General features: G+C 37.2%; 1 pseudogene; it reads right to left on the reverse strand.

The window, feature by feature from the left end:
* CRLF3P2 (CRLF3 pseudogene 2) lies at positions 8,275–10,458 on the reverse strand (annotated as a pseudogene).

Genomic DNA, 12,380 nt, shown 5'->3' on the forward strand with positions numbered 1-12,380 from the left:
TGTGTTACTGTTGCTTTTGTTTTGTTTTGCTTGGTTTGCTTGTTTGTTTCATTTTACTAATTTCCGTTTTTCGGTTCTGAGATAAAATCCAGCATACCACGACATATTGAGTTTCATGTTCTCTTACTTTCTTCTGCTGTGTAGTAGTTTCCCAGTCTTTCCTTTGATGATCTTGCTGGTCTTGAGGTGTTCTAGTCTGGTGTTTTTATAAAATGTACCTCAGTTTGTGTTTACCTGATTTTTTTGTTTGTTTGTTTGTTTTTTGAGACAGGGTCTCGCTCTGTTGCCCAGGCTGAAGTGCACTGGCAGGATCACAGCTCATTGCAACCTCCACCTCCCGTGCTTAGGTGAACCTCCCACCTCAGCCTCCCAGGGAGTTGGGACTGCAGGTGGGGACCAGCATGCCCAGATAATTTTTGTATTTTTTGTAGAGATGGCATCTCGCCATGTTGCCCAGGCTGGTCTCAAATGCCTATGCTCAAGCAATCCACCTGCCTCTGCCTCCCAAAATGCTAGGATTACACGTGTGAGCCACCACACCTGGCCAGATGTTTTTCTTATTATCAAAGTAAGTTTATGGATTTAAGGAAAAAATAGCCCACAAGTGAAGTGACCTTCTCATTGCGTCATATCAGGAATTCACGGTGTTAAACTGATTATTGATGAGGTTAGCCTTCACCAACTGGAGTTATGTCTGCCAGGCTTCGCAACTGTGCAATTATTTTTCTCTTTCCATATTCTATTCACTGTAAGTGTGTAACTGAGCTCATCCCACATTCAAGGGGAGAGAAATTAAGCTTCACCTCCGAGAGGGAAGTGTTCATTGCTTCCATAAGCTTATGTTATTACCAGTCATTAATAAATACATTGGAGGCTAAATACATTTGAAACTGTGCAAATATCTTGTTTCTCCTTAAAATGTACTCACAAATTTTAGCATTAATTAGTGGACCTCTTTGAGGAAGTATTAGTGGAAGATTCTAATGATAATTTTCTATTTGCTTTATTCATTCACATGTATTATTTGGAATGTTCCTTCTTTCCTTCCTTCTTTCTTTTGCACTTCCTTTCTGTCTCTGCAAGATGCTACAGACTCAACTTATGTTTTTCTTGCTTTAACTCTAGAATCCCTGTTTCTTTAAGAATTCCTAGGTATTTGATTAGATGATTGAGCTTAAAAACCAAGATCTTGGCTTCAGTATGCTTGCTGCTTTTGAGGTGTCACTGTTACTAGGCCCTTTCACAGAGGCCAAGGCATATATGTGTGTATAAAAACTCATGTATACAAATACATGTGTGTGTGTTCATTTCAGTATCTATTTTTCTGTATGTGTATGTGTGTGTATATATATTTATATATATACGTTTCTGTGTGTGTATACATGTATTTGTATGTGTGTGTGTATGGGTGAACTGCAGTGAACTGCAACCTAACATAGTATGTAAATTAACTGCAACATAACCTAAAAGGACATTCTTGTAAATAGCTGAGTCCCAGACAATTACAGTAGTCAAGATACAGTCAATCACAGGCTGCCAACTGATTAGACTATGTCCATATAAGGAAATTTCCAATTATACCATGCCCAAATAAGGCATACACCCAGGTGTAACAAATTAAGTTGTTTTTGTTAAGTCCCTTCCTTTTTCTTCTGCAAATATTGAATGCTGACATTGATGGGTAGAGCTCTTTGAACCTCTCTGAGTGCTGCCTGATTCAGGAACTATTCTTTGCTCAAACATTGTGAAATTTAATTCTGAAGTTTTTTGAACAATATATATACATACACAGATATATGGGTATGGGTGTGTGAGTGCGTGCACACACACACACACACTTATATCTCCAACACTAAGACAATATTACAGGGTCCAGTCTAGACTTTACTCCTTACCAGTAGATAGTAATGGTGATTTTGGAAAAGCAATGTATTCTTATCTGTGCCCCCTTTCTAGTAAATGCTCCCTGTTTTCTCTATTTCCAACATCAACTGTTATCTAAATTTTTAATACAATTACAACTTGACTACTGGGAAATCATGGTTGTTAATAGCTAATATATAGCCAATCTTAAAATTATTTAAATACATTTCTTAAATAATGAGGAAACTGAGGCTTTGAGAGGCCAAAAAAAAAAATAGGTAAATCTGCAAATGTACATATTAAGGACATTAGATAAATTAAAATGTTCTTTCCTCACATGAGTTCCTTCTCATTTTTGGTGGTGTGACACTGACTTCTATATCCTACCTTCTCATAAATATTTTCAGTGTATATCTTTATAGAAGCTATGTTTTCTGACAAGAATTTAGCTATTGCCATTTTAAGTTATGACACATTTTTCTGCACAAATCTTACTTTAGGCTCCCAATTCACTTTCATGTAAAAACAAGAAACTTATTATCTTCCTGGTTCCAGGAAAAATATACAAAATTTGAGTTGTATAAGTTCTCTCTTCTCTAATATTAATACTTTCAGAGGAAAAATATAGCCATAAAATACAAAAATCATAAGGAATATAATAAAAATGTAATTAGCATTAAAGCATTTGTCACATAGGAAAATAATATAAATATCACCTTATTTATTCTGTTCTTGTGGAAAGAGTACTTCAGTGCTTTTTGTAGTTGAAAAAATTAGTAATAACTATTTTATTAAAATGTGTTTTCTTTCATGTGAAATCATATTAAATATACTCTAAAATAAAGTAATCATTTTGTTACTTTGCTACATAATATTTTGCTTGCTTTTTGTTTTGCTTGGGAGCTCAATGACAGGTTTTATCATTGTTGTTTGTTTTTTCTTGATTTGCTTGAGAAAAAAAGATAGAAGATGGTCAGCAATCTATTGACTATTTTCACTGAGTCATTCTCAAGGTTGACTTATTTTTTTTCAAACTTAAGACAATAAAAAGTCAATGAACTAGTTATATGTCTTAAGGTATCTGTGAAATAATCCTAAATGCAGCCACTGTAAATACCAAATACATATGGTGTCTCTCTTTTTTTTTCCAGAACCCAAACCATCTTTTAAATTCATTATTAGTTTGGCATAATTTTTTGTCTAGTATAATTTTTTTTTTAGATGTGGTCTAGCTCTTTCACCCAGGCTGGAGTGCAGTGGCCAGATCTTGGCTCACTGTAACCTCCGCCTCCTGGGTTCAAGTGATTCTCCTGCCTCAGCCTCCCAAGAAGCTGGGATTGCAGGCAAGCGCCACCACACCCAGCTAATTTTTGTATTTTTAGTAGGGATGGGGTTTCAACATGTTGGCCCAGCTAGTCTTAAACTCCTGACTTCAGGTGATCCACCCCTCTCGGCCTCCCAAAGTGCTGGGATTAAAGGCATGAACCACTGCACCCAGCCTCCTATAAATTTTATAGCATTACTGAATTGCATATTTGTTTAATAAAACAAGATTACACAAGTACTGATAATATTTAAGTGCAAGAAATGTTTTAAAATGTAATTAAGGAAAAATGTTTGTAATATATTATGCTTTTACAAAACAAAAATTTAGCTTTAAAACTACAAAGTTATTGACTGTAAGATTATATAAATTGTATTATTTGTCTTCTATTAAATTGTTATCTCTAGTTAGTCTTTGTAGGGATTGCGTTCATGTGCCATTCCTCTATATAGATGAAAAGTATACTATGAATTAAATTCACATTAAAATTTATTTGTTCTCGTTAATTTTCTTTTTTCATTCAATTAAACATGCTACATTTACTATGTACCATGTGCTAGTCAAAACATGGAATACAAAAGTAAATGAGCTAGAAAAGCATCTGCCTCCTATGAGCTAATAAACTGACAGGTGCCTCTAAATTTATCTTATTCTACTAACATTAGTGTAGAGATCTCCTTAATCTTGTGATCCTTTCCATGTTCAGATTCAAGTTTTCCTGCTTTAATGATGAGTACTAATTTGAACTTATCCTAAGTAATGCCCGGCATTTAAATTGGCCATGCACTCAATTAGAGCATTTAACCATGGTAATTTTGAGTTATTCTGTGTTTCTTAAATAGTGAAGCTGGATAATTATATTAACTGAAAGCACAGGACTGTTAAAAGGCTAACAAAACCTAAAATTCAAACCCCAACCCAAAGCCACTTCAAAATTCTTTGTATAACCAGAAGATGCTATAATAATAATCAGTGCTATCAACTGTGGTTGGATAACTTGAAAAGAGTAATTATGAAACTTGGAAAAGCAATTTTCACAATCATTTTGTTCAGTTTGTATTTTACATAGGTATATAGTTAATTACACAAATAAATGTAAAATATCTTAAAATGTAGCAATATATATTTAAAAAATAACTAGAAACAATTTTATGATTTATCTAGTTTGACACATTTTTATTTTTTCCTTTATTACCAGAATGAGAGGAAGTTTTGAAGGTGGAGGAGTTGACACTCAGTATCTATAGAAATGAAAAATGAAATTACTACAGTGAAATTTTATATCTGTTACAAGCGTCACATTTAGTTTTTGGCAACTCAGAGTTTAAAAGAAAAATAACATTACCTAATATACATCATATTAGTTCTCATTTCACTACTTTGAGCTCTTTCTAGAATATAATATGTTATGATAGTCACTGAAATAGATTTTTTAAATTGGCTCCTCATTTTTAGCAGATTCATTTTGTTAAGACAAAGAGTGGCAATTATAACTTTAGATTGCTTGGAATTCAATGAGAGATATTCAGAAATATAATTTGTGATTATTATTTTCTCAGAGAAAAAGTAAGGAATGTAAAGAGTATATGATAAGTAAAGTAAAAATTTTCACAGACAGACTATCTATGAACAAAAAAATCTTACTTAACAAAAGGACATACAAAAAATTTTTAAGTAAGTGAAGTATATGAGGTACTAATCAAGAACACCGTAAGGACAGTGGATAAGAAAACAGTGAACAGGAAGACCCTGACCTGGGCAGAAACAAGATCATAAGAAAGCAGAAAGCCACCCAGACTAATCCAAACTCTTAAATTACGAGTGAAGCATTGAAAAAAAGTAAGAAGAAAGCAGAAGTTGACCAGAAAAGCAAAAAAGAAATAATTAATTTTTTATTGGTACACATATGTACATATTCATGGGGCACATGTGATATTTTGTTACATGCATAGAATGTGTAATGATCAAGCCAAGGTATTTAGAGTGTTCATCAGCTTGAGTACTTATCATTTCTATGTGCTGGGAGAAATTTTCTAGAGTGACTTTTTTCTAAGGACTGTACAAGCCTACTGCTCGAAGACAACCAGAAGCATACCTAAAGGCAACAAAAATAAATAAGTGAATAAAGTCGATTTATTTAACTGTTTTGAGCAAGGGACATATTCCAGGCCCTTGGGCGTCTCTATAAGAGGGTATAGGAGGAAATTGTAAATATAATTTTGATATGTTGAATGAAAAAGTATGGCTTAAGGGAAAAATATGAATAAGATGTCAAAAAACTGGGGGTAATTCAAATAAGTGAATTTTGTAAAGATTTCTCTATAGTTGGTGAGTGGATTAAAGTGGATTAGAGTTACCATTGGTAATGCAGCACTCAGTGATGTTGATCAAAAGTGAGGAATTTATATATATATATATTTGGTCTGGAAGATAATCTTGCTTATGTCTTATATCTATGAGCATTGTTTATGTTCAGCTGGGAATAGCTAGTTGCCAGTTAGGCGATTTGTCAGCCTAGTGTGCCAGTTGGATAATTTTTCATTTTCTTAGCAAATTCCAATATACAGCCTTACAACAATTTTGTGGAACAGATGTCATTGCCACATAACATTTTTAAGTGTAAGTATGAAAATTTCTCTCATTAGCAAGTGTCGGTACTGGAAATAATCTTCATACACCAAACTCTAAAGTATTTGTTCTATTACGAAATCAACACAACATGATATCCATTATTTGTATTTGGATTACACTTTCTTAAGGAGTAGAGTAGTATATTCTAAAGAGCACCAGTTGTGATTTAAACAACTGAATTCTAGTACTAATTCTGTAGCTGACAAGCTCTGTGACTTCAGTCATGTCACTGAAGTTCATCACTAAGATGAAACCTTAATTCTTTCATCTTTAGTAGGAAGGAGTTGAAGTAGCTGAAGTATAAAGCTCCATCTAGCTCAACAATTTTATTATCATTATTATTGATTCCTTCTTCCTGTGCCCATAAGTACTCAAAGATTGCCAGAAGCGGATAAAAGTTTTGCTGAACTTAAAGCCTATTCAATCTGAGAGGCAATTTTAAAGAATGAGAAAAAAAATCTTACTATTACAAATTTTCAAAAATGATGCCAATGTGAACACATTTATAGCACCCCCCCCGCCCGCCCGCCCCACTCAGGGCCTTAGAAGTGATGCTTGCAAAAGAGGGGCCTTGAAGTTTAAGTTTCTCTAGCTTCCCTGTAAATCTGCCTTTTGCAATACCACTCACAATGGCTTTTGTGGCAGGTTCTGTTGATGGGTCAATAAAGAGGAAAGAGAAGACGGCAGATGGTGTTACCTAGGAATTCCCCTGATCTCCTTTCAAGTCCGAAGTGTAAGGAGGTTCAGAGGTGGTCCATTTTCACTTGGAACTGTAAGAACAAAGGATTTCTTACCCTCTAGGAAGGTTCAAAAAGCCTCTTCCTGAATCATACTATGGAAGTAAGACCGTCTCCTGTCACAGAGAGGTAAGTTACAAGGTGCAATGGTTATAAAGGCAAAGGGCTGAAGTACCAAGCACTTACGTGTTTCTGTTTCAAAATAAGGCAGTCAGCAATACATACTGGAGGAAACAAGGACTTCCGAAAGCTATCGCAAAAACTACACTACCTAAAGGCTATGAAGTGAGAAATTTGGTAATCAAAAACTAATGAATTAGTAATTAGTGACGTGCCATACGGTGTTTTTAACATGATGAAATAGTGAGCTAACCTCTGCATGCAATTGTAAAAACAAATTCTTAAATGTAAAGAAATCAACACTAAGTTTCAGATTAACTTGCCTTTTGTCTCATAGACCTCTCTATGCATTTGCTCTCACAAAATACACCTGGATGGAAACAGAAACTAGGCTATCTTACTGCATCCTAAAATATTCTGCTACCTAAAATAATTCATGGTTTCACTTGGTTTCACATCTGCCTAGTGTAGCATTAGTGGTTTTGTGATACACCTTTCAAATAATGATAAGGACATTTTGCTCTGACATCCCTCCAAGATAAATTACCAAACCCTTCAAGACATAAGATGATAGGAAGATAAGGTTTATTATTTCCCACACGGTGGTCAAGGTCATTGAGGAAAAATGGTATGAAGAGTTAATATTACAGGAAAAACATAGCATCCAAAATTAAATAATATTTGAGATTGAAAAGATACATTATCCCCATAGCTCTGCGAAACTCAGTGTCTACACAAATTACTATTTCTCTTTTAAGTGCCAGTCATGTAAGTTACAGTTCTCTAAGGACAATTTTAACTGCTCTCTGTTACTTAGAAATTTCCTCTATTTTACCTCTCTCAGTCAAAATGACTTGAATTCTTATAATGTCATTTCCCTTTATTTCAGAATTATGTTTTATGTTGCAGAATTTCCAATTGGATATGCCTATTTTCTTTCTTCCTAGAAAATACACGTAACAATGAACACTGTATGTATAACTTGCTAAAATAGAGGATGTTACATTTCAGTTACTCATCGATACTAATACTCTTTGTACTACAATTTTAATACCTATCTTCACTTTTAGAATTAGCAAGGTTTGCTAATGTAAGAAAAGTTCATTCTGCAATTGATATTGCTAACTACTAACTCATAGACTAATACTGAAATTTATACAGAACTTTTATATCCTAGAATGAAAAGGAAATATATTATGACTCCTCTTATTTACATTTTTGTTCCTATTTAGAATGTTGCCAAATTACTTATTTTTTTGAACTTTTAGTTATTTATTTTGATTCAGATCGATGGACAAGGTACCTACATTCTGGAAAGCTTCTTAATCCTTAAACAAGTGAGCTTCTACTTACTTATACATAAAAAGACAAGGAGAAAAGGTCATGATTGTCTAACAGGGAACATGAATCCACAAATAAATTATCTTACAATAAGGTCATACTTGCTTTTCTACTTTTTTACTATTGGTAAAAATGAAAAAAGAATTCACAGTAAAATAAAATTTGTAGGCCGGTATAGCATGTTAAGATTCTTATTTTTACATATTAACTTTTCAAGTAAATTTTTACACACAAATTTAAGTTTTCAAAAAATTAAGTTAAGTATTTGCCCCATATTTTTTTGGTCCGCTAAGTGACCATTTATCAACTGACATTAAACTGGACTGCAGCTCACACTCCAAAAAAGTAAAATTATGTCACAGGCTAGATACACACATGTGCATATTACATACATGTGAAATGGCTAACACTGCTGTGCATACTACTTCCATAGGTAGTTTGACCCTATGAAAATAGTGTAGTCTGTCTTGAATCAAATTGCAATAAAAGAACAAAAGATAATACTTGCCTATAATAGACATTTACTCAGGCATTTTAAAAATGCAAAAATTAGAATGTTTGGGGGACTTAAAAATTATTGAAGATGGGATAAAAGTCAACACTGCTTATAAGTACCTGAACATGGAGAGTATTGCCAATAAATTCAGGTGGACAGCATATGAATGAATGTGTATCACATAACTTCTACTATGTGGTCTGTTTCTCTTGTTTTATTCTAAAGATTTACATGGACTTGGATCTTTTAAGATGGTTTAAAAAATAATATTACATTGTTTTCCTAGTCTAATAACCAACTTTAAGAAACGCGATGGAAGGGTAAGAACTTTCTATATCTTCTCATACTTCTAAAGTCAATTGGATTTCTATTATGACGTGATATTTTAGTTAACAGTATGCTAAAAATAAAATTGACTGAATTACAAGATTTTCCCCAACATTCAAGTCTCTTTTTGTTAAAATATTATGAAATGAATTCAGTAAATATTTTCTATTTCCAATAGCTTAAGTGAGAGATGAGTGCAACTACTTTAAAAAAAAAAAAATTAAAACTAAACTGGGCTGAAGACCAACTACGTTAAACCCTGAAAACCAAAGCGAAGCACACAAACATCTAAAACACTAATATTTTCCATCCAGGATAGAAAAATGGGCATCCAAAGTAAAGAGAACCACAAGATTGATCGAGTAACTAATTAAAAACCACTTCTCTGTTATTTGAGCTAATTGTTACTCGAAGCTTGAAGTTCCTGCCTTCATTATTATTGGTGGTTCCTAGAGTGACAGCTTCAGTGTCAAATGTGACAGTGCACACAGAAGTAACTGAAGTTAACTCATTAGTCATTTCTTTTCCATTAACAAAAACTTCACCATTTGTACTCATACATATAGCTTGATCCTGCTGCAGAGAGTCATATCCATTCTGTTTTTCTGCAAACACCCCATACTGTATCTTCTGTCCCACAGTTTCAACTCTGAATGTTAATGTCTGCCCACAGAAATAAGTTGGAGTTCTAGAGTAGAGAACACCTGAGGATTGAGAATCATTCCAGAATGCAATATTACTTCGACTTTCAGACTGTACCCCTCAAAACCAGCTGTCCACTCATGAGGCACCAATGTGAAATGACCTATCTGGGGGACACTTCAGGGCTCCAGTCCTGTTGACCATCTCCTCAGGTGCAGACTTTGGACTGATAATCAAAATTGGAGTCCATGTGCAGTACTATGAATTGAGTTTCAGAACCTACATGTACATCCTCATAATGATTTGAAGTACGTTTGCAAAATTAGAGCCTATAATCTTGGGCTGTAAAATCATCATCCACCTTACACCATCCTACTGTGATGACTCCAGGTTTCTGTTTCAGTTCTTATATCTGTACTGGTGGGAGAGATGCTACTGTTCCATGCTTAGAAATGTAGTCTTTTACTATAAGAATTGAGTCATCCAACTGAGCAGATAAACAAAGCATATCAACCAGTAAAGGTACTTCTGGTAAGCTGTCCAACTGAATGTGTGAGACCTTTTCGGCAAAGCTATGCAGTTTGTCATTCTCTTCTACACTACCAACCATGGCAATCTCACCTACTCAGACTAAGTCCTCTGCAGTGTTGACTCCATGTTCTATGAGCCTCTGGCAGTCATCTAATGGTTTAATGGTCTCCTGCTCAATGATGTCCACCTCTTACTAAAGGGTCACCAATCGCTCATCCAGGAGCTCCTCAAGGGTTCCCTTTAAATCATTAAAATGCTGTTTGAGAACATCCTTTGTCTGTGGTGCACACTCCTTGATCTGCCTCTGTGCCTCCCCCAGCTCCCGCCTGGAGCTCCGTGTCACCTCCACGTTCTCATGAGCTTCATGCAGCAGCAGCTCAGGCTTCAGCTCCATTGCCCCCACATGGAGCCACACATCCGGGGGAAGTTGGCCTGGGTTCCCAACTGTGCTGGGCACCTTCAAGCAGCCTGGCACAGCCTCATGCAGGCTGCCATCTAACTTATACTTTTACTATCAGCTCTGACAAAATTGTCTAACAAATGATTTATATATATAAATTAATCCTGTTAACACATTAAAGTTATTGATATTCTTGCAATTATACTATCAACTTTCTCAAACCCAGTTTCTCTTTTAATTGCTTACAGCTATGCTTAGAAGTAGTTTTCTAGGATACACATTTCCTGTATTTTCTCTATAATTACTAAATAACTTGTAGATTTATACACCTCAATATTTGTTTAGAAAAAGTCTATTATATAATTAATATAGCTAATAAAAAAACAAGAAATTCCCTGGTAAACTTTCATTGTTTGAATTTAGGGAATAAGATAGCAGTGATAGTGATGGTGCTGATGACCCGTCTGTAGTGGCTACTGCAAGGATGCCGGCTGCAGAAGGGGAGGCAACGCCAGGGCTGCGTGCTCCTTGGAGCTGGCAGGGGCTGGGAACAGGAAGGAGCCATGCTCCTTACCAAGTTGGTGGGGGAGGAGCCCTGCGCTCCTGGGCGCAGCTGCAGCTGCCCAGCCACTGCTCTGAACCTGGGCATCCTTGTACTCTCAGAGCCTCAGGAACTCCCCTGCCTCCATAGACTTGGAAGTGCCTGCTCCTACTCCCTGGCCTCTCCCCACTCCTGGCGCCCACTCCAGTGTGGAGCAAAGTTGTAGCTGAGCCCAGGTGCTGTTGGCCTGGTGTGCATGCAATTGGGACAGCACTGATGCACCAGCCGACCTGCCGCTGCCTCAGTCCCTGCTGAGCATTGGATACCAAAGAGCGTGGGAGGGGGACTGGGGGGCTGAGGGCGGCTCAGTGCAGATCTGCAGGCACCCCTCAGCACGAAAAGCCTGGACTCCACAGAAGACATGTTGATGATGGAAGGCAGACAGAGATTCCTGGATGGAAAGAGGTGGGTCCCCTACCTTCAAACCAGTGATGGCCTGAAGCCTGGGGGCCAGGCTGCCAGTTTCAGGTGGAGTCTGCTACTTGGAGTGAAAACTTATGGTGAACTTTCCAGGCCCATGCATGGTTGTTTATAGACCGATCAGCACACACTTCCTCCCTTTTGAACCCATAAAAACCCAAGACATAGCCTGATTCACAAAGAGGTTGGGACTACCAGCAGCTGGAAGGAGCTGCCCACTTTGGGTCTCCTTGACTCTTCGGAATCACCTGCCTGTGGAAAGGAGCTCCCTACTGTGGGTTGCTTCTCCACTGACAGCTGGACACTTGTCAGGACCTGCATGGAGAAAGGAGCTACCCATTTCAGGTCTCCTGGGAGTTGTTCTGTCACTCGATGAAGCTCCTCTCCACCTTGCTCATCCTCCAGTTTTCCACATACTTCCTTCTTCCTGGATGTGGGACAAGAACTCAGGATCCTCCCAATGGCAGCACTGAAAGAGCTGTAACACAAACAGGGCTGAAACACACCCCCTGCTCACCACATTGCAAGTGATGAGGAGAGAAGAGCTGCAGCCCTTTGGGGATCCCAGAACGTAGCTAAAGCTATGACACCTTCTTTGCAGCTCTGCAGTTCCTGGTGTCTGTAAGTTTCCAGGTGCCACCATGTTCCCCGGTTCCTGCAGTGGAAATCACTTGTGGTACACCTGGTCCAGTTGCACCCTTTTGCAGAGCTGGTGTCTGTGCCAGAACCTGGAGTTTTCCACGCTGCCACAGCCAGCACACCTGGCTGTGTGCAGTGGCCAGACCTTGCACTCACTCACACACTCCTCACCACTCTGTGCCTGGCTCACTCTTGGCAGGCATGGCATCCAGGCCAGTAGCACAAGCAGAACACTGCCAGCCAGGCTGAGTGGGTTGAATGAGCCCAGCAAGACCAAGGAAAACGCAAGTAAAAGTGCCACTGGCCAC

The sequence above is a fragment of the Homo sapiens genome, chromosome 5 (assembly GCF_000001405.40).
Source record: "Homo sapiens chromosome 5, GRCh38.p14 Primary Assembly".
Classification (NCBI taxonomy): Eukaryota; Metazoa; Chordata; class Mammalia; order Primates; family Hominidae; genus Homo; species Homo sapiens.